Source organism: Homo sapiens, chromosome Y, assembly GCF_000001405.40.
Source record: "Homo sapiens chromosome Y, GRCh38.p14 Primary Assembly".
In the NCBI taxonomy this organism is placed as follows: domain Eukaryota; kingdom Metazoa; phylum Chordata; class Mammalia; order Primates; family Hominidae; genus Homo; species Homo sapiens.
In genome coordinates, this window is record NC_000024.10 from 23,257,464 (window position 1) to 23,281,270 (window position 23,807).

The window sequence follows — 23,807 nt, forward strand, 5'->3', positions numbered from 1 at the left end:
GGGTTTGACATACTCTATCACTTACTGTTGATAAATAACGTTTATATTCTTCTTAGTTCATTTCATTGATGTGTTAGCTTAAAAGACATTTTCTTTGATGGAAAATGTAGTAACAAAATAATAGTGAAATAGTTCTGCAGTGTTTCTAATTTGTTGATATTTTCCATGTACTTGAAACATGTATGGTATACCTCTTATTTTTCCTTCTCTGAACAATGGGTAGAAGAAAAGCTCTACTTGTTACTGTCATTTACTGTGAGCCGTTACTGAATCTGGGTGTATTCATGTATGCTACTGCCTGTATGTTTTCAAACAATAAGCATTTATTGAAACATATAAGACATTATACTTCCTCTTCTCCAGTATTGGATTATAGACTGCACTTAGTTTTTTGGAATGAAGTACAGACAAAGCCATAACATCTATAGAACTACATATTACCCTATAATATTGTCTGATACAAAACAGTCTAGAAATATTCTTACAGCAAAATTGCAAATGTATTAATTTAACTTACATTGCAATCTGTCTTAATGGAGCCTTATCACCAGTGTAAGAAATAACTTCTGGGTGTGAATAAGTACACAGTATAAGGTAAACTTTGGTGAAGTAGTCAATTCTTTTTTTTTTTTAAATTATGCTTTAAGTTTTAGGGTCCATGTGCACATTGTGCAGGTTAGTTCCATATGTATACATGTGCCATGCTGGTGCTCTGCACCCTCTAACTCCTCATCTAGCATTAGGTATATCTCCCAGTGCTATCCCTCCCCCCTCCCCCCACCCCACAACAGTCCCCAGAGTGTGATATATCCCTTCCTGTGTCCATGTGATCTCATTGTTCAATTCCCACCTATGAGTGAGAATATGCGGTGTTTGGTTTTTTGTTCTTGCGATAGTTTACTGAGAATGATGATTTCCAATTTCATCCATGTCCCTACAAAGGACATGAAGTCATCATTTTTTATGGCGGCATAGTATTCCATGGTGTATATGTGCCACATTTTCTTAATCCAGTCTATCATTGTTGGACATTTGGGTTGGTTCCAAGTCTTTGCTATTGTGAATAATGCCGCAATAAACATACGTGTGCATGTGTCTTTATAGCAGCATGATTTATAGTCCTTTGTGTATACACCCAGTAATGGGATGGCTGGGTCAAATGCTATTTCCAGTTCTAGATCCCTGAGGAATCGCCACACTGACTTCCACAATGGTTGAACTAGTTTACAGTCCCGCCAACAGTGTAAAAGTGTTCCTGTTTCTCCACATCTTCTCCAGCACCTGTTGTCTCCTGACTTTTAAATGATTGCCATTCTAACTGGTGTGAGATGGTATCTCACTGTGGTTTTGATTTGCATTTCTCTGATGGCCAGTGATGATGAGCATTTTTTCATGTGTTTTTTGGCTGCATAAATGTCTTCTTTTGAGAAGTGTCTGTTCATGTCCTTCACCCACTTTTTGATGAGGTTGTTTGTTTTTTCTTGTAAATTTGTTTTAGCTCATTGTAGATTCTGGATATTAGCCCTTTGTCAGATGAGTAGGTTGTGAAAATTTTCTCCCATTTTGTAGGTTGCCTGTTCACTCTGATGGTAGTTTCTTTTTCTGTGCAGAAGCTCTTTAGTTTAATTAGATCCCATTTGTCAATTTTGTCTTTTATTGCCATTGCTTTTGGTGTTTTAGACGTGAAGTCCTCGCCTATGCCTATGTCCTGAATGGTAATGCCTAGGTTTTCTTCTAGGGTTTTTATGGTTTTACGTCTAACGTTTAAGTCTTTAATCCATCTTGAATTGATTTTTGTATAAGGTGTAAGGAAGGGATCCAGTTTCAGCTTTCTACATATGGCTAGCCAGTTTTCCCAGCACCATTTATTAAATAGGGAATCCTTTCCCCATTGCTTGTTTTTCTCAGGTTTGTCAAAGATCAGATAGTTGTAGATATGCGGCGTTATTTCTGAGGGCTCTGTTCTGTTCCATTGATCTATATCTCTGTTTTGGTACCAGTACCATGCTGTTTTGGTTACTGTAGCCTTGTAGTATAGTTTGAAGTCAGGTAGTGTGATGCCTCCAGCTTTGTTCTTTTGGCTTAGGATTGACTTGGCAATGCGGGCTCTTTTTTGGTTCCATGTGAACTTTAAAGTAGTTTTTTCCAATTCTGTGAAGAAAGGCATTGGTAGCTTGATGGGGATGGCATTGAATCTGTAAATTACCTTGGGCAGTATGGCCATTTTCACGATATTGATTCTTCCTACTCATGAGCATGGAATGTTCTTCCATTTGTTTGTATCCTCTTTTATTTCCTTGAGCAGTGGTTTGTAGTTCTCCTTGAAGAGGTCCTTCACATCCCTTGTAAGTTGATTTCCTAGGCATTTTATTCCCTTTGAAGCAATTGTGAATGGGAGTTCACTCATGATTGGGCTCTCTGTTTGTCTGTTGTTGGTGTATAAGAATGCTTGTGATTTTTGTACATTGATTTTGTATCCTGAGACTTTGCTGAAGTTGCTTATCAGCTTAAGGAGATTTTGGGCTGAGACAATGGGGTTTTCTAGATATATAATCATGTTGTCTGCAAACAGGGACAATTTGACTTCCTCCTTTCCTAATTGAATACCCTTTATTTCCTTCTCCTGCCTAATTGCCCTGGCCAGAACTTCCAACACTATGTTGAATAGGAGTGGTGAGAGAGGGCATCCCTCTCTTGTGCCAGTTTTCAAAGGGAATGCTTCCAGTTTTTGCCCATTCAGTATGATATTGGCTGTGGGTTTGTCATAGATAGCTCTTACTATTTTGAAATACGTCCCATCAATACCTAATTTATTGAGAGTTTTTAGCATGAAGGGTTGTTGAATTTTGTCAAGGGCTTTTTCTGCATCTATTGAGATAATCATGTGTTTTTTGTCTTTGGTTCTGTTTATATGCTGGATTACATTTATTGATTTGCGTATATTGAACCAGCCTTGCATCCCAGCGATGAAGCCCACTTGATCATGGTGGATAAGCTTTTTGATGTGCCGCTGGATTCGTTTTGCCAGTATTTTATTGAGGATTTTTGCATCAATGTTCATCAAGGATATTGGTCTAAAATTCTCTTTTTTGGTTGTGTCTCTGCCTGGCTTTGGTATCAGAATGATGCTGGCCTCATAAAATGAGTTAGGGAGGATTCTGTCTTTTTCTGTTGATTGGAATAGTTTCAGAAGGAATGGTACCAGTTCCTCCTTGTACCTCTGGTAGAATTCGGCTGTGAATCCATCTGGTCCTGGACTCTTTTTGGTTGGTGAGCTATTGATTATTGCCACAATTTCAGCTCCTGTTATTGGTCTATTCAGAGATTCAACTTCTTCCTGGTTTAGTCTTGGGAGAGTGTATGTGTCGAGGAGTTTATCCATTTCTTCTAGATTTTCTAGTTTATTTGCGTAGAGGTGTTTGTAGTATTCTCTGATGGTAGTTTGTATTTCTGTGTGATCAGTGGCGATATCCCCTTTATCATTTTTTATTGCGTCTATTGGATTCTTCTCTCTTTTTTTCTTTATTAGTCTTGCTAGCGGTCTGTCACTTTTGTTGATCCTTTCAAAAAACCAGCTCCTGGATTCATTAATTTTTTGAAGGGTTTTTTGTGTCTCTATTTCCTTCAGTTCTGCTCTGATCTTAGTTATTTCTTGCCTTCTGCTAGCTTTTGACTGTGTTTGCTCTTGCTTTTCTAGTTCTTTTAATTGTGATGTTACGGTGTCAATTTTGGATCTTTCCTGCTTTCTCTTGTGGGCATTTAGTGCTATAAATTTCCCTCTACACACTGCTTTGAATGCATCCCAGAGATTCCGGTATGTTGTGTCTTTGTTCTCGTTGGTTTCAAAGAACATCTTTATTTCTGCCTTCATTTTGTTATGTACCCAGTAGTCATTCAGGAGCAGGTTGTTCAGTTTCCATGTAGTTGAGTGGTTTTGAGTGAGATTCTTAATCCTGAGTTCTAGTTTGATTGCACTGTGGTCTGAGAGATAGTTTGTTATAATTTCTGTTCTTTTACATCCGCTGAGGAGAGCTTTACTTCCCAGTATGTGGTCAGTTTTGGAATAGGTGTGGTGTGGTGCTGAAAAAAAATGTATATTCTGTTGATTTGGGGTGGAGAGTTCTGTAGATGTCTATTAGGTCCACTTGGTGCAGAGCTGAGTTCAATTCCTGGGTATCCTTGTTGACTTTCTGTCTCGTTGATCTGTCTAATGTTGACAGTGGGGTGTTAAAGTCTCCCATTATTAATGTGTGGGAGTCTAAGTCTCTTTGTAGGTCACTCAGGACTTGCTTTATGAATCTTGGTGCTCCTGTATTGGGTGCATATATATTTAGGATAGTTAGCTCTTCTTGTTGAATTGATCCCTTTACCATTATGTAATGGCCTTCTTTGTCTCTTTCGATCTTTGTTGGTTTAAAGTCTGTTTTATCAGAGACTAGGATTGCAACCCCTGCCTTTTTTTGTTTTCCATTTGCTTGGTAGATCTTCCTGCATCCTTTTATTTTGAGCCTATGTGTGTCTCTGCACGTGAGATGGGTTTCCTGAATACAGCACACTGATGGGTCTTGACTCTTTATCCAGTTTGCCAGTCTGTGTCTTTTAATTGGAGCATTTAGTCCATTGACATTTAAAGTTAATATTGTTATGTATGAATTTGATCCTGTCATTATGATGTTAGCTGGTTATTTTGCTTGTTAGTTGATGCAGTTTCTTCCTAGTCTCGATGGTCTTTACATTTTGGCATGATTTTGCAGCGGCTGGTACCGGTTGTTCCTTTCCATGTTTAGTGCTTCCTTCAGGAGCTCTTATAAGGCAGGCTTGGTGGTGACAAAATCTCTCAGCATTTGCTTGTCTGTAAAGTATTTTATTTCTCCTTCGCTTATGAAGCTTAGTTTGGCTGGATATGAAATTCTGGGTTGAAAATTATTTTCTTTAAGAATGTTGAATATTGGCCCCCACTCTCTTCTGGCTTGTAGGGTTTCTGCCGAGAGATCCACTGTTAGTCTGATGGGCTTCCCTTTGAGGGTAACCCGACCTTTCTCTCTGGCTGCCCTTAACATTTTTTCCTTCATTTCAACTTTGGTGAATCTGACAATTATGTGTCTTGGAGTTGCTCTTCTCGAGGAGTATCTTTGTGGTGTTCTCTGTATTTCCTGAATCTGAACGTTGGCCTGCCTTGCTAGATTGGGGAAGTTCTCCTGGATAATATCCTGCAGAGTGTTTTCCAGCTTGGTTCCATTCTCCCGATCACTTTCAGGTACACCAAGCAGACGTAGATTTGGTCTTTTCACATAGTCCCATATTTCTTGGAGGCTTTGCTCATTTCGTTTTATTCTTTTTTCTCCAAACTTCCCTTCTCACTTCATTTCATTCATTTCATCTTCCATTGCTGATACCCTTTCTTCCAGTTGATCGCATCAGCTCCTGAGGCTTCTGCATTCTTCACGTAGTTCTTGAGCCTTGGTTTTCAGCTCCATCAGCTCCTTTAAGCACTTCTCTGTATTGGTTATTCTAGTTATACATTCTTCTACATTTTTTTTTTCCAAAGTTTTCAACTTCTTTGCCTTTGGTTTGAATGTCCTCCCGTAGCTCAGAGTAATTTGATCGTCTGAAGCCTTCTTCTCTCAGCTCGTCAAAGTCATTCTCCATCCAGCTTTGTTCCGTTGCTGGTGAGGAACTGCGTTCCTTTGGAGGAGGAGAGGTGCTCTGCTTTTTAGAGTTTCCAGTTTTTCTGTTCTGTTTTTTCCCCCTCTTTGTGGTTTTATCTACTTTTGGTCTTTGATGATGGTGATGTACAGATGGGTTTTTGGTGTGGATGTCCTTTCTGTTTGTTAGTTTTCCTTCTAACTGAGAGGACCCTCAGCTGCAGGTCTGTTGGAATACCCTGCCGTGTGAGGTGTCAGTGTGCCCCTGCTGGGGGGTGCCTCCCAGTTAGGCTGCTCGGGGGGTCAGGGGTCAGGGACCCACTTGAGGAGGCAGTCTGCCCGTTCTCAGATCTCCAGCTGCGTGCTGGGAGAACCACTGCTCTCTTCAAAGCTGTCAGACAGGGTCATTTAAGTCTGCAGAGGTTACTGCTGTCTTTTTGTTTGTCTGTGCCCTGCCCCTAGAGGTGGAGCCTACAGAGGCAGGCAGGCCTCCTTGAGCTGTGGTGGGCTCCACCCAGTTGGAGCTTCCCTGCGGCTTTGTTTACCTAATCAAGCCTGGGCAATGGCGGGCGCCCCTCCCCCAGCCTCGTTGCCGCCTTGCAGTTTGATCTCAGACTGCTGTGCTAGCAATCAGTGAGACTGCGTGGGCGTAGGACCCTCCGAGCCAGGTGCGGGATATAATCTAGTGGTGTGCCGTTTTTTAAGCCCGTCGGAAAAGCGCAGTATTCGGGTGGGAGTGACCCGATTCTCCAGGTGGCATCCGTCACCCCTTTCTTTGACTCAGAAGGGAACTCCCTGACCGCTTGCGCGTCCCAAGTGAGGCAATGCCTCGCCCTGCTTCCGCTCGCACGCGGTGAGCCCACCCACTGACCTGCGCCCACTGTCTGGCACTCCCTAGTGAGATGAACCCGGTACCTCAGATGGAAATGCAGAAATCACCCGTCTTCGGCGTCGCTCACGCTGGGAGCTGTAGACTGGAGCTGTTCCTATTCGGCCATCTTGGCTCCTCCCCCACCCCCCTTTTTTTTTCAAGATGCCACCATAGGGGCCTGTTGGGGAGCAAAGGGATTATGTTTTCCTTGATGTTAAGTGAATTAGCCAAACATAGACTTCCTGTTCATTCTTGGTTTTTTTCCACGTCGTATATGCCTATTACTATTTTTAAGTGATTTTTATATCAATGTTTTAGTTTATTTTTTTACTTTCTTGTTAACCCGATTATAAACTCCCATGGGAGCAACAGTGCCTTTTTTGCCCTGAGGTTTTTATTTGCTTAAGCAATGGCAGGTCCACTTAATGATAGACCATATCATCAAAGAAAGGTAGTATTCATGTGGCTTTTGAATTAGCATGCATCTGCGTAGATTCTGCCTCTGGCTTTACCAGCAACAGAAAATTTGTAGAACAGAGACAGAAATGCTTTGCTGTTAATTGCGCTTAAATAAGAATAGGAGTAAACGAGAGTATTACCTCCAAAGCACCAGAGCTGCTTTCCTCCTTATAACCAGTTCCTAAAGTGAATGAAAGCAGCTCTCCTTATGTGTCTGCCTACTTCATTCTTCGGTAAGTTTAACAGTTCATCTAGCTACCCTTTATTTGAAATGATTTCCAGATGCCTCCTCATATAAATTGCTGACTTCTGGATATATTCTGGTTCGGGAATGGGTAGATTTCTGATGTGGTTTAGTAGGTATATAAATCCCGTGAGCTTCTTGCATCTAATTTCTCTGATCCTGCTTACACTGATATTTAAAGTAGGTTTTGACATACTCCATCACTTAATGTTGATAAAGGACGTTTATATTCTTCTTAGTTCGTTTTATTTATGTGTTAGCTTTAAAGACATTTTCTGTGACGGAAAGTGAAGTAACAAAATAATAGTCGAATAGTTCTGCCGTGTCTCTAATTTGTTGATATTTTCCATGTACTTGAAACATGTATGGTACACCTCTTCTTTTTCCTTCTCTGAACAATGGCTAGAAAAAAAACCCTACTTCTTTCTGTCATTTACTGTGAGGCATTACTGAATCTGGGTGTATTCATGTATGCTGCTACCTGTATGTTTTCAAACAATAAGAATTTATTGAAACATATAAGACATTATACTTTCTCTTCTCCAGTATTGGATTATAGACTGCACTTAGTTTTCCGGAATGAAGTACAGACAAAGCCATAACGCGTGTACAACTACACATTGTCCTATAATATTGTCTGATAAAAAACAGTGTAGAAATATTCTGACAGGGAAATAGCAAATGTATTAATTTAACTTACCTTGCAATCTCTCTTAATGGAGCCTTATCACCAGTGTAAGAAATAACGTCTGGGTGTGAATACGTACACAGTATAAGGTAAACTTTGGTGAAGTCGTCAATTCTTTTGTCATTTCTTCCCCCTTCACAGCCAAAGTGTAGCACTTGACATGGAATCTTTCTTTCTTCATAAATCAGTCATTCATTTGGAATTCTGCATTGTTGTATGTAGAAAAACGATATTTTCCCTTCTGTAATATTGTTGTTATATTGGGAATTATATTTCTTTGTAATTTTAAAAAGTGGTTTACCATATTCATTTTTTTCTGCCAACCTTTCTTTTCAGGCATTTCCTGCTTATCCAAGTTCACCATTTCAGGTCACCACTGGATATCAGTTGCCTGTATATAATTATCAGGTAATGTAAGAAGGAGTAAAATTATTTGCTTTCAGGTATTATTGAGGCCTTTAACTTGTTTATACAAATTTCCGGAATAGTTGGTCATTTTAAACTAGTGAAGTGTACCTAAAATTTAAGGAAACACTTAGAATTAGTGTAGAATGAAGACCTCTGTCTTATTGAGAAGTAATGAAGTCGAATTTTGACAGGAATATACTTGGGAATAACTTTCCTGTAGAACAGATTTCTGAGATTTGGTGTCCCATTCTTCATTTCTGGATGTAGTTTTCATCTTTACTGTCAAATAACTGAATGAAACATCCAAACTGACTTTCATGAATTTTCTTAGGGAGATAGAGTGAAATAAAATTATGACCCACTTTGCAGAGCACAGAATTCCAACTATATTTTCATTTTAGCTGGCTGTTTCACGATAGCAATTCTCTGGGTCTCTTTTCACAGATACAAGTACATCTATGCCCAATAATTATATCTATGGTAATAAACTGAAAGAGCTAGTATCTTTGAGGTTTCCACATTGCCAACTCCCGAAAATGTGGAGAAGGGTGAAGTTTCTAATATAAAAGTAACAAGAATGTCATGGACTAGAAACATAAAGTACTCAAGTTTTCCTTTCTGTTACTTGTATTATAATAAAAAAGGAGACAGCAGGATAAGTGCTTCAATATTGTGTTTCTCATGTGTTTTTGAAAATGTGTAGGAATATTTTAATAGTTTTGGTTTCCTTTTTTTTTTTTTTTTAAGATGCCACCATAGGGGCCTGTTGGGGAGCAAAGGGATTATGTTTTCCTTGATGTTAAGTGAATTAGCCAAACATAGACTTCCTGTTCATTCTTGGTTTTTTTCCACGTCGTATATGCCTATTACTATTTTTAAGTGGTTTTTATATCAATGTTTTAGTTTATTTTTTTACTTTCTTGTTAACCCGATTATAAACTCCCATGGGAGCAACAGTGCCTTTTTTGCCCTGAGGTTTTTATTTGCTTAAGCAATGGCAGGTCCACTTAATGATAGACCATATCATCAAAGAAAGGTAGTATTCATGTGGCTTTTGAATTAGCATGCATCTGCGTAGATTCTGCCTCTGGCTTTACCAGCAACAGAAAATTTGTAGAACAGAGACAGAAATGCTTTGCTGTTAATTGCGCTTAAATAAGAATAGGAGTAAACGAGAGTATTACCTCCAAAGCACCAGAGCTGCTTTCCTCCTTATAACCAGTTCCTAAAGTGAATGAAAGCAGCTCTCCTTATGTGTCTGCCTACTTCATTCTTCGGTAAGTTTAACAGTTCATCTAGCTACCCTTTATTTGAAATGATTTCCAGATGCCTCCTCATATAAATTGCTGACTTCTGGATATATTCTGGTTCGGGAATGGGTAGATTTCTGATGTGGTTTAGTAGGTATATAAATCCCGTGAGCTTCTTGCATCTAATTTCTCTGATCCTGCTTACACTGATATTTAAAGTAGGTTTTGACATACTCCATCACTTAATGTTGATAAAGGACGTTTATATTCTTCTTAGTTCGTTTTATTTATGTGTTAGCTTTAAAGACATTTTCTTTGACGGAAAGTGAAGTAACAAAATAATAGTCGAATAGTTCTGCCGTGTCTCTAATTTGTTGATATTTTCCATGTACTTGAAACATGTATGGTACACCTCTTCTTTTTCCTTCTCTGAACAATGGCTAGAAAAAAAACCCTACTTCTTTCTGTCATTTACTGTGAGGCATTACTGAATCTGGGTGTATTCATGTATGCTGCTACCTGTATGTTTTCAAACAATAAGAATTCATTGAAACATATAAGACATTATACTTTCTCTTCTCCAGTATTGGATTATAGACTGCACTTAGTTTTCCGGAATGAAGTACAGACAAAGCCATAACGCGTGTACAACTACACATTGTCCTATAATATTGTCTGATAAAAAACAGTGTAGAAATATTCTGACAGGGAAATAGCAAATGTATTAATTTAACTTACCTTGCAATCTCTCTTAATGGAGCCTTATCACCAGTGTAAGAAATAACGTCTGGGTGTGAATACGTACACAGTATAAGGTAAACTTTGGTGAAGTCGTCAATTCTTTTGTCATTTCTTCCCCCTTCACAGCCAAAGTGTAGCACTTGACATGGAATCTTTCTTTCTTCATAAATCAGTCATTCATTTGGAATTCTGCATTGTTGTATGTAGAAAAACGATATTTTCCCTTCTGTAATATTGTTGTTATATTGGGAATTATATTTCTTTGTAATTTTAAAAAGTGGTTTACCATATTCATTTTTTTCTGCCAACCTTTCTTTTCAGGCATTTCCTGCTTATCCAAGTTCACCATTTCAGGTCACCACTGGATATCAGTTGCCTGTATATAATTATCAGGTAATGTAAGAAGGAGTAAAATTATTTGCTTTCAGGTATTATTGAGGCCTTTAACTTGTTTATACAAATTTCCGGAATAGTTGGTCATTTTAAACTAGTGAAGTGTACCTAAAATTTAAGGAAACACTTAGAATTAGTGTAGAATGAAGACCTCTGTCTTATTGAGAAGTAATGAAGTCGAATTTTGACAGGAATATACTTGGGAATAACTTTCCTGTAGAACAGATTTCTGAGATTTGGTGTCCCATTCTTCATTTCTGGATGTAGTTTTCATCTTTACTGTCAAATAACTGAATGAAACATCCAAACTGACTTTCATGAATTTTCTTAGGGAGATAGAGTGAAATAAAATTATGACCCACTTTGCAGAGCACAGAATTCCAACTATATTTTCATTTTAGCTGGCTGTTTCACGATAGCAATTCTCTGGGTCTCTTTTCACAGATACAAGTACATCTATGCCCAATAATTATATCTATGGTAATAAACTGAAAGAGCTAGTATCTTTGAGGTTTCCACATTGCCAACTCCCGAAAATGTGGAGAAGGGTGAAGTTTCTAATATAAAAGTAACAAGAATGTCATGGAGTAGAAACATAAAGTACTCAAGTTTTCCTTTCTGTTACTTGTATTATAATAAAAAAGGAGACAGCAGGATAAGTGCTTCAATATTGTGTTTCTCATGTGTTTTTGAAAATGTGTAGGAATATTTTAATAGTTTTGGTTTCCTTTTTTTTTTTTTTTTTAAGATGCCACCATAGGGGCCTGTTGGGGAGCAAAGGGATTATGTTTTCCTTGATGTTAAGTGAATTAGCCAAACATAGACTTCCTGTTCATTCTTGGTTTTTTTCCACGTCGTATATGCCTATTACTATTTTTAAGTGGTTTTTATATCAATGTTTTAGTTTATTTTTTTACTTTCTTGTTAACCCGATTATAAACTCCCATGGGAGCAACAGTGCCTTTTTTGCCCTGAGGTTTTTATTTGCTTAAGCAATGGCAGGTCCACTTAATGATAGACCATATCATCAAAGAAAGGTAGTATTCATGTGGCTTTTGAATTAGCATGCATCTGCGTAGATTCTGCCTCTGGCTTTACCAGCAACAGAAAATTTGTAGAACAGAGACAGAAATGCTTTGCTGTTAATTGCGCTTAAATAAGAATAGGAGTAAACGAGAGTATTACCTCCAAAGCACCAGAGCTGCTTTCCTCCTTATAACCAGTTCCTAAAGTGAATGAAAGCAGCTCTCCTTATGTGTCTGCCTACTTCATTCTTCGGTAAGTTTAACAGTTCATCTAGCTACCCTTTATTTGAAATGATTTCCAGATGCCTCCTCATATAAATTGCTGACTTCTGGATATATTCTGGTTCGGGAATGGGTAGATTTCTGATGTGGTTTAGTAGGTATATAAATCCCGTGAGCTTCTTGCATCTAATTTCTCTGATCCTGCTTACACTGATATTTAAAGTAGGTTTTGACATACTCCATCACTTAATGTTGATAAAGGACGTTTATATTCTTCTTAGTTCGTTTTATTTATGTGTTAGCTTTAAAGACATTTTCTGTGACGGAAAGTGAAGTAACAAAATAATAGTCGAATAGTTCTGCCGTGTCTCTAATTTGTTGATATTTTCCATGTACTTGAAACATGTATGGTACACCTCTTCTTTTTCCTTCTCTGAACAATGGCTAGAAAAAAAACCCTACTTCTTTCTGTCATTTACTGTGAGGCATTACTGAATCTGGGTGTATTCATGTATGCTGCTACCTGTATGTTTTCAAACAATAAGAATTTATTGAAACATATAAGACATTATACTTTCTCTTCTCCAGTATTGGATTATAGACTGCACTTAGTTTTCCGGAATGAAGTACAGACAAAGCCATAACGCGTGTACAACTACACATTGTCCTATAATATTGTCTGATAAAAAACAGTGTAGAAATATTCTGACAGGGAAATAGCAAATGTATTAATTTAACTTACCTTGCAATCTCTCTTAATGGAGCCTTATCACCAGTGTAAGAAATAACGTCTGGGTGTGAATACGTACACAGTATAAGGTAAACTTTGGTGAAGTCGTCAATTCTTTTGTCATTTCTTCCCCCTTCACAGCCAAAGTGTAGCACTTGACATGGAATCTTTCTTTCTTCATAAATCAGTCATTCATTTGGAATTCTGCATTGTTGTATGTAGAAAAACGATATTTTCCCTTCTGTAATATTGTTGTTATATTGGGAATTATATTTCTTTGTAATTTTAAAAAGTGGTTTACCATATTCATTTTTTTCTGCCAACCTTTCTTTTCAGGCATTTCCTGCTTATCCAAGTTCACCATTTCAGGTCACCACTGGATATCAGTTGCCTGTATATAATTATCAGGTAATGTAAGAAGGAGTAAAATTATTTGCTTTCAGGTATTATTGAGGCCTTTAACTTGTTTATACAAATTTCCGGAATAGTTGGTCATTTTAAACTAGTGAAGTGTACCTAAAATTTAAGGAAACACTTAGAATTAGTGTAGAATGAAGACCTCTGTCTTATTGAGAAGTAATGAAGTCGAATTTTGACAGGAATATACTTGGGAATAACTTTCCTGTAGAACAGATTTCTGAGATTTGGTGTCCCATTCTTCATTTCTGGATGTAGTTTTCATCTTTACTGTCAAATAACTGAATGAAACATCCAAACTGACTTTCATGAATTTTCTTAGGGAGATAGAGTGAAATAAAATTATGACCCACTTTTCAGAGCACAGAATTCCAACTATATTTTCATTTTAGCTGGCTGTTTCACGATAGCAATTCTCTGGGTCTCTTTTCACAGATACAAGTACATCTATGCCCAATAATTATATCTATGGTAATAAACTGAAAGAGCTAGTATCTTTGAGGTTTCCACATTGCCAACTCCCGAAAATGTGGAGAAGGGTGAAGTTTCTAATATAAAAGTAACAAGAATGTCATGGACTAGAAACATAAAGTACTCAAGTTTTCCTTTCTGTTACTTGTATTATAATAAAAAAGGAGACAGCAGGATAAGTGCTTCAATATTGTGTTTCTCATGTGTTTTTGAAAATGTGTAGGAATATTTTAATAGTTTTGGTTTCCTTTTTTTTTTTTTTTTAAGATGCCACCATAGGGGCCTGTTGGGGAGCAAAGGGATTATGTTTTCCTTGATGTTAAGTGAATTAGCCAAACATAGACTTCCTGTTCATTCTTGGTTTTTTTCCACGTCGTATATGCCTATTACTATTTTTAAGTGATTTTTATATCAATGTTTTAGTTTATTTTTTTACTTTCTTGTTAACCCGATTATAAACTCCCATGGGAGCAACAGTGCCTTTTTTGCCCTGAGGTTTTTATTTGCTTAAGCAATGGCAGGTCCACTTAATGATAGACCATATCATCAAAGAAAGGTAGTATTCATGTGGCTTTTGAATTAGCATGCATCTGCGTAGATTCTGCCTCTGGCTTTACCAGCAACAGAAAATTTGTAGAACAGAGACAGAAATGCTTTGCTGTTAATTGCGCTTAAATAAGAATAGGAGTAAACGAGAGTATTACCTCCAAAGCACCAGAGCTGCTTTCCTCCTTATAACCAGTTCCTAAAGTGAATGAAAGCAGCTCTCCTTATGTGTCTGCCTACTTCATTCTTCGGTAAGTTTAACAGTTCATCTAGCTACCCTTTATTTGAAATGATTTCCAGATGCCTCCTCATATAAATTGCTGACTTCTGGATATATTCTGGTTCGGGAATGGGTAGATTTCTGATGTGGTTTAGTAGGTATATAAATCCCGTGAGCTTCTTGCATCTAATTTCTCTGATCCTGCTTACACTGATATTTAAAGTAGGTTTTGACATACTCCATCACTTAATGTTGATAAAGGACGTTTATATTCTTCTTAGTTCGTTTTATTTATGTGTTAGCTTTAAAGACATTTTCTGTGACGGAAAGTGAAGTAACAAAATAATAGTCGAATAGTTCTGCCGTGTCTCTAATTTGTTGATATTTTCCATGTACTTGAAACATGTATGGTACACCTCTTCTTTTTCCTTCTCTGAACAATGGCTAGAAAAAAAACCCTACTTCTTTCTGTCATTTACTGTGAGGCATTACTGAATCTGGGTGTATTCATGTATGCTGCTACCTGTATGTTTTCAAACAATAAGAATTTATTGAAACATATAAGACATTATACTTTCTCTTCTCCAGTATTGGATTATAGACTGCACTTAGTTTTCCGGAATGAAGTACAGACAAAGCCATAACGCGTGTACAACTACACATTGTCCTATAATATTGTCTGATAAAAAACAGTGTAGAAATATTCTGACAGGGAAATAGCAAATGTATTAATTTAACTTACCTTGCAATCTCTCTTAATGGAGCCTTATCACCAGTGTAAGAAATAACGTCTGGGTGTGAATACGTACACAGTATAAGGTAAACTTTGGTGAAGTCGTCAATTCTTTTGTCATTTCTTCCCCCTTCACAGCCAAAGTGTAGCACTTGACATGGAATCTTTCTTTCTTCATAAATCAGTCATTCATTTGGAATTCTGCATTGTTGTATGTAGAAAAACGATATTTTCCCTTCTGTAATATTGTTGTTATATTGGGAATTATATTTCTTTGTAATTTTAAAAAGTGGTTTACCATATTCATTTTTTTCTGCCAACCTTTCTTTTCAGGCATTTCCTGCTTATCCAAGTTCACCATTTCAGGTCACCACTGGATATCAGTTGCCTGTATATAATTATCAGGTAATGTAAGAAGGAGTAAAATTATTTGCTTTCAGGTATTATTGAGGCCTTTAACTTGTTTATACAAATTTCCGGAATAGTTGGTCATTTTAAACTAGTGAAGTGTACCTAAAATTTAAGGAAACACTTAGAATTAGTGTAGAATGAAGACCTCTGTCTTATTGAGAAGTAATGAAGTCGAATTTTGACAGGAATATACTTGGGAATAACTTTCCTGTAGAACAGATTTCTGAGATTTGGTGTCCCATTCTTCATTTCTGGATGTAGTTTTCATCTTTACTGTCAAATAACTGAATGAAACATCCAAACTGACTTTCATGAATTTTCTTAGGGAGATAGAGTGAAATAAAATTATGACCCACTTTTCAGAGCACAGAATTCCAACTATATTTTCATTTTAGCTGGCTGTTTCACGATAGCAATTCTCTGGGTCTCTTTTCACAGATACAAGTACATCTATGCCCAATAATTATATCTATGGTAATAAACTGAAAGAGCTAGTATCTTTGAGGTTTCCACATTGCCAACTCCCGAAAATGTGGAGAAGGGTGAAGTTTCTAATATAAAAGTAACAAGAATGTCATGGACTAGAAACATAAAGTACTCAAGTTTTCCTTTCTGTTACTTGTATTATAATAAAAAAGGAGACAGCAGGATAAGTGCTTCAATATTGTGTTTCTCATGTGTTTTTGAAAATGTGTAGGAATATTTTAATAGTTTTGGTTTCCTTTTTTTTTTTTTTTTAAGATGCCACCATAGGGGCCTGTTGGGGAGCAAAGGGATTATGTTTTCCTTGATGTTAAGTGAATTAGCCAAACATAGACTTCCTGTTCATTCTTGGTTTTTTTCCACGTCGTATATGCCTATTACTATTTTTAAGTGATTTTTATATCAATGTTTTAGTTTATTTTTTTACTTTCTTGTTAACCCGATTATAAACTCCCATGGGAGCAACAGTGCCTTTTTTGCCCTGAGGTTTTTATTTGCTTAAGCAATGGCAGGTCCACTTAATGATAGACCATATCATCAAAGAAAGGTAGTATTCATGTGGCTTTTGAATTAGCATGCATCTGCGTAGATTCTGCCTCTGGCTTTACCAGCAACAGAAAATTTGTAGAACAGAGACAGAAATGCTTTGCTGTTAATTGCGCTTAAATAAGAATAGGAGTAAACGAGAGTATTACCTCCAAAGCACCAGAGCTGCTTTCCTCCTTATAACCAGTTCCTAAAGTGAATGAAAGCAGCTCTCCTTATGTGTCTGCCTACTTCATTCTTCGGTAAGTTTAACAGTTCATCTAGCTACCCTTTATTTGAAATGATTTCCAGATGCCTCCTCATATAAATTGCTGACTTCTGGATATATTCTGGTTCGGGAATGGGTAGATTTCTGATGTGGTTTAGTAGGTATATAAATCCCGTGAGCTTCTTGCATCTAATTTCTCTGATCCTGCTTACACTGATATTTAAAGTAGGTTTTGACATACTCCATCACTTAATGTTGATAAAGGACGTTTATATTCTTCTTAGTTCGTTTTATTTATGTGTTAGCTTTAAAGACATTTTCTTTGACGGAAAGTGAAGTAACAAAATAATAGTCGAATAGTTCTGCCGTGTCTCTAATTTGTTGATATTTTCCATGTACTTGAAACATGTATGGTACACCTCTTCTTTTTCCTTCTCTGAACAATGGCTAGAAAAAAAACCCTACTTCTTTCTGTCATTTACTGTGAGGCATTACTGAATCTGGGTGTATTCATGTATGCTGCTACCTGTATGTTTTCAAACAATAAGAATTCATTGAAACATATAAGACATTATACTTTCTCTTCTCCAGTATTGGATTATAGACTGCACTTAGTTTTCCGGAATGAAGTACAGACAAAGCCATAACGCGTGTACAACTACACATTGTCCTATAATATTGTCTGATAAAAAACAGTGTAGAAATATTCTGACAGGGAAATAGCAAATGTATTAATTTAACTTACCTTGCAATCTCTCTTAATGGAGCCTTATCACCAGTGTAAGAAATAACGTCTGGGTGTGAATACGTACACAGTATAAGGTAAACTTTGGTGAAGTCGTCAATTCTTTTGTCATTTCTTCCCCCTTCACACCCAAAGTGTAGCACTTGACATGGAATCTTTCTTTCTTCATAAATCAGTCATTCATTTGGAATTCTGCATTGTTGTATGTAGAAAAACGATATTTTCCCTTCTGTAATATTGTTGTTATATTGGGAATTATATTTCTTTGTAATTTTAAAAAGTGGTTTACCATATTCATTTTTTTCTGCCAACCTTTCTTTTCAGGCATTTCCTGCTTATCCAAGTTCACCATTTCAGGTCACCACTGGATATCAGTTGCCTGTATATAATTATCAGGTAATGTAAGAAGGAGTAAAATTATTTGCTTTCAGGTATTATTGAGGCCTTTAACTTGTTTATACAAATTTCCGGAATAGTTGGTCATTTTAAACTAGTGAAGTGTACCTAAAATTTAAGGAAACACTTAGAATTAGTGTAGAAGGAAGACCTCTGTCTTATTGAGAAGTAATGAAGTCGAATTTTGACAGGAATATACTTGGGAATAACTTTCCTGTAGAACAGATTTCTGAGATTTGGTGTCCCATTCTTCATTTCTGGATGTAGTTTTCATCTTTACTGTCAAATAACTGAATGAAACATCCAAACTGACTTTCATGAATTTTCTTAGGGAGATAGAGTGAAATAAAATTATGACCCACTTTGCAGAGCACAGAATTCCAACTATATTTTCATTTTAGCTGGCTGTTTCACGATAGCAATTCTCTGGGTCTCTTTTCACAGATACAAGTACATCTATGCCCAATAATTATATCTATGGTAATAAACTGAAAGAGCTAGTATCTTTGAGGTTTCCACATTGCCAACTCCCGAAAATGTGGAGAAGGGTGAAGTTTCTAATATAAAAGTAACAAGAATGTCATGGAGTAGAAACATAAAGTACTCAAGTTTTCCTTTCTGTTACTTGTATTATAATAAAAAAGGAGACAGCAGGATAAGTGCTTCAATATTGTGTTTCTCATGTGTTTTTGAAAATGTGTAGGAATATTTTAATAGTTTTGGTTTCCTTTTTTTTTTTTTTTTAAGATGCCACCATAGGGGCCTGTTGGGGAGCAAAGGGATTATGTTTTCCTTGATGTTAAGTGAATTAGCCAAACATAGACTTCCTGTTCATTCTTGGTTTTTTTCCACGTCGTATATGCCTATTACTATTTTTAAGTGATTTTTATATCAATGTTTTAGTTTATTTTTTTACTTTCTTGTTAACCCGATTATAAACTCCCATGGGAGCAACAGTGCCTTTTTTGCCCTGAGGTTTTTATTTGCTTAAGCAATGGCAGGTCCACTTAATGATAGACCATATCATCAAAGAAAGGTAGTATTCATGTGGCTTTTGAATTAGCATGCATCTGCGTAGATTCTGCCTCTGGCTTTACCAGCAACAGAAAATTTGTAGAACAGAGACAGAAATGCTTTGCTGTTAATTGCGCTTAAATAAGAATAGGAGTAAACGAGAGTATTACCTCCAAAGCACCAGAGCTGCTTTCCTCCTTATAACCAGTTCCTAAAGTGAATGAAAGCAGCTCTCCTTATGTGTCTGCCTACTTCATTCTTCGGTAAGTTTAACAGTTCATCTAGCTACCCTTTATTTGAAATGATTTCCAGATGCCTCCTCATATAAATTGCTGACTTCTGGATATATTCTGGTTCGGGAATGGGTAGATTTCTGATGTGGTTTAGTAGGTATATAAATCCCGTGAGCTTCTTGCATCTAATTTCTCTGATCCTGCTTACACTGATATTTAAAGTAGGTTTTGACATACTCCATCACTTAATGTTGATAAAGGACGTTTATATTCTTCTTAGTTCGTTTTATTTATGTGTTAGCTTTAAAGACATTTTCTGTGACGGAAAGTGAAGTAACAAAATAATAGTCGAATAGTTCTGCCGTGTCTCTAATTTGTTGATATTTTCCATGTACTTGAAACATGTATGGTACACCTCTTCTTTTTCCTTCTCTGAACAATGGCTAGAAAAAAAACCCTACTTCTTTCTGTCATTTACTGTGAGGCATTACTGAATCTGGGTGTATTCATGTATGCTGCTACCTGTATGTTTTCAAACAATAAGAATTCATTGAAACATATAAGACATTATACTTTCTCTTCTCCAGTATTGGATTATAGACTGCACTTAGTTTTCCGGAATGAAGTACAGACAAAGCCATAACGCGTGTACAACTACACATTGTCCTATAATATTGTCTGATAAAAAACAGTGTAGAAATATTCTGACAGGGAAATAGCAAATGTATTAATTTAACTTACCTTGCAATCTCTCTTAATGGAGCCTTATCACCAGTGTAAGAAATAACGTCTGGGTGTGAATACGTACACAGTATAAGGTAAACTTTGGTGAAGTCGTCAATTCTTTTGTCATTTCTTCCCCCTTCACAGCCAAAGTGTAGCACTTGACATGGAATCTTTCTTTCTTCATAAATCAGTCATTCATTTGGAATTCTGCATTGTTGTATGTAGAAAAACGATATTTTCCCTTCTGTAATATTGTTGTTATATTGGGAATTATATTTCTTTGTAATTTTAAAAAGTGGTTTACCATATTCATTTTTTTCTGCCAACCTTTCTTTTCAGGCATTTCCTGCTTATCCAAGTTCACCATTTCAGGTCACCACTGGATATCAGTTGCCTGTATATAATTATCAGGTAATGTAAGAAGGAGTAAAATTATTTGCTTTCAGGTATTATTGAGGCCTTTAACTTGTTTATACAAATTTCCGGAATAGTTGGTCATTTTAAACTAGTGAAGTGTACCTAAAATTTAAGGAAACACTTAGAATTAGTGTAGAATGAAGACCTCTGTCTTATTGAGAAGTAATGAAGTCGAATTTTGACAGGAATATACTTGGGAATAACTTTCCTGTAGAACAGATTTCTGAGATTTGGTGTCCCATTCTTCATTTCTGGATGTAGTTTTCATCTTTACTGTCAAATAACTGAATGAAACATCCAAACTGACTTTCATGAATTTTCTTAGGGAGATAGAGTGAAATAAAATTATGACCCACTTTGCAGAGCACAGAATTCCAACTATATTTTCATTTTAGCTGGCTGTTTCACGATAGCAATTCTCTGGGTCTCTTTTCACAGATACAAGTACATCTATGCCCAATAATTATATCTATGGTAATAAACTGAAAGAGCTAGTATCTTTGAGGTTTCCACATTGCCAACTCCCGAAAATGTGGAGAAGGGTGAAGTTTCTAATATAAAAGTAACAAGAATGTCATGGACTAGAAACATAAAGTACTCAAGTTTTCCTTTCTGTTACTTGTATTATAATAAAAAAGGAGACAGCAGGATAAGTGCTTCAATATTGTGTTTCTCATGTGTTTTTGAAAATGTGTAGGAATATTTTAATAGTTTTGGTTTCCTTTTTTTTTTTTTTTTTAAGATGCCACCATAGGGGCCTGTTGGGGAGCAAAGGGATTATGTTTTCCTTGATGTTAAGTGAATTAGCCAAACATAGACTTCCTGTTCATTCTTGGTTTTTTTCCACGTCGTATATGCCTATTACTATTTTTAAGTGATTTTTATATCAATGTTTTAGTTTATTTTTTTACTTTCTTGTTAACCCGATTATAAACTCCCATGGGAGCAACAGTGCCTTTTTTGCCCTGAGGTTTTTATTTGCTTAAGCAATGGCAGGTCCACTTAATGATAGACCATATCATCAAAGAAAGGTAGTATTCATGTGGCTTTTGAATTAGCATGCATCTGCGTAGATTCTGCCTCTGGCTTTACCAGCAACAGAAAATTTGTAGAACAGAGACAGAAATGCTTTGCTGTTAATTGCGCCTAAATAAGAATAGGAGTAAACGAGAGTATTACCTCCAAAGCACCAGAGCTGCTTTCCTCCTTATAACCAGTTCCTAAAGTGAATGAAAGCAGCTCTCCTTATGTGTCTGCCTACTTCATTCTTCGGTAAGTTTAACAGTTCATCTAGCTACCCTTTATTTGAAATGATTTCCAGATGCCTCCTCATATAAATTGCTGACTTCTGGATATATTCTGGTTCGGGAATGGGTAGATTTCTGATGTGGTTTAGTAGGTATATAAATCCCGTGAGCTTCTTGCATCTAATTTCTCTGATCCTGCTTACACTGATATTTAAAGTAGGTTTTGACATACTCCATCACTTAATGTTGATAAAGGACGTTTATATTCTTCTTAGTTCGTTTTATTTATGTGTTAGCTTTAAAGACATTTTCTTTGACGGAAAATGAAGTAACAAAATAATAGTCCAATAGTTCTGCAGTGTCTCTAATTTGTTGATGTTTTCCATGTACTTGAAACATGTGTGGTATACCTCTTCTTTTTCCTTCTCTGAACAATGGCTGGAAAAAAAGCCCTACTTGTTTCTGTCATTTACTGTGCGGCATTACTGAATCAGGGCATATTCATGTGTGCTGCTACCTGTATGTTTTCAAACAATAAGAATTCATTGAAACATATAAGACATTATACTTTCTCTTCTCCAGTATTGGATTATAGACTGCACTTAGTTTTTTGGAATGAAGTACAAACATAGCACTAATATCTATAGAACTACATATTACCCTTTAATATTGTCTGATACAAAACAGTCTAGAAATATTCTGACATTGAAATAGCAAATGTATAAATTTAACTTACATTGCAATCTGTCTTAATGGAGCCTTATCACCGGTGTAAGAAAGAATTTCTGGGTGTGAATAAGTACACAGTATAAGGTAAACTTTGGTGAAATAGTCAATTCTTTTGTCATTTGTTCCCCCTTCACACCCAAAGTGTGGCACATGACATAGACTATTTCTTTCTTCATAAAGTCAGTCATTCATTTAGAATTCTGCATTGTTGTATGTAGAAAAATGATATTTTAACGTTTTTAATATTTTTGTTACATTGGGAATGATATTTCTTTCTAATTTTAAAAAATGGTTTACCATATTCTTTTTTTTCTGCCACCTTTCTTTTCAGGCATTTCCTGCTTATCCAAATTCAGCAGTTCAGGTCACCACTGGATATCAGTTCCATGTATACAATTACCAGGTAATGTAAGAAGGAATGAAATGATTTGCTTTCAGGTATTATTGAGGCCTTTAACTTGTTTATACAAATTTCCTGAATAGTTGGTCATTTTAAACTAGTGAAGTGTACCTAATATTTAAGGAAACACTTAGAATTAGTGTAGAATGAAGACCTCTGTCTGATTTAGAAGTAATGAGGTAATATTTTGACAGGAATGTACTTGGCAATAACTTTTCTGTAGAACAGTTTTCTGAGATTTGACCCTTCTATATTTCAGGATATAGTTTTCATCTTTGCTGTCAAATAGCTGAATGAAACCTCCAGGATGACTTTCATGAATTTTTTAGGGATATAGAGTAAATAAAATTATTACCCAATTCTTAGAGCACATAATTCAAATTATAGTTTCATTTAGTAGGCTGTTTCCCGACAATTGTTGTCTGGTTCTCTTTTCATAGTAGAGAGGACTCTATCTATGACCAATAATCATATGTAGCATAATAAGTTCAAAGTAGTAACATCTTTGAGATTTCCACAATGCCAAATCCAAAAATTGGGGAAAAGGTGTGGTTTCGTATTTGTATGTGGAAGTAACAACAAGAATGTCAGGAATTAGAACCATAAAGTACTTCTTTTTTCCATTGTCTTTCTTTTATTATAATAACAAAGGAGCCAGCATAGGTACTTCAATATTTTATATATCATTTGTTTTTGAAAATGTTTATGAATATTTGAATAATTTTGTTTTCCTATTTTTTTTTTAAGATGCCACCGCAGTGCCCTGTTGGGGAGCAAAGGAGGTAGGTTGTACCTCTGGTAAAGTGAATTAGCCTACCATGTACTTCTGTTCTTTCTGGATTATTTTCCATATCATTTATGCCTTATAAATATTTTAAATGATTCTTTATATTAATGTGTTACATTTTGTTACTTTCTTTTTAACCCAGTTACAATCTCCCATGGGTGCAACAGTGCCTTTTTCTCTCTCAGGTTTTTGTGTGCTTAAGGAGTGGCTGGTCCACATAATAAGTGTTCAGTTACTTGTTGATAGACTGTGTAATCTAAGAAAGATAGTATTAATGTCACTTTAGAATTAGCATGTATCTGCGTAGGGTCTGCCTCTGGTTTTACCAGCCACAAAAAATTTGTTGAAGAGAAACAGAAATGTTTTGCTGTTAATTACTCTTAAATAAGAATAGGAATAAAA

The 23,807-nt window shown here is 36.2% G+C and overlaps 1 protein-coding gene across 7 annotated transcripts in view; it reads left to right on the forward strand.

Annotated features, from left to right (window-relative positions):
* DAZ2 (deleted in azoospermia 2) overlaps positions 1–23,807 on the forward strand; it is a 71,900-nt gene that overhangs the window by 38,007 nt on the left and 10,086 nt on the right. For 5 of the 7 annotated variants that reach the window (NM_020363.3, NM_001005785.2, NM_001389303.1 and 2 more), the window contains 8 exons: positions 8,244–8,315; positions 10,628–10,699; positions 13,013–13,084; positions 15,397–15,468; positions 17,781–17,852; positions 20,165–20,236; positions 22,550–22,621; positions 23,366–23,400. In NM_020363.3, coding sequence (NP_065096.2) covers positions 8,244–8,315; positions 10,628–10,699; positions 13,013–13,084; positions 15,397–15,468; positions 17,781–17,852; positions 20,165–20,236; positions 22,550–22,621; positions 23,366–23,400 — 539 coding nt within the window. The remainder of the gene's footprint in view (positions 1–8,243; positions 8,316–10,627; positions 10,700–13,012; positions 13,085–15,396; positions 15,469–17,780; positions 17,853–20,164; positions 20,237–22,549; positions 22,622–23,365; positions 23,401–23,807) is intronic. The other 2 variants (NM_001388494.1, NM_001005786.2) reach the window with 2 other exon arrangements.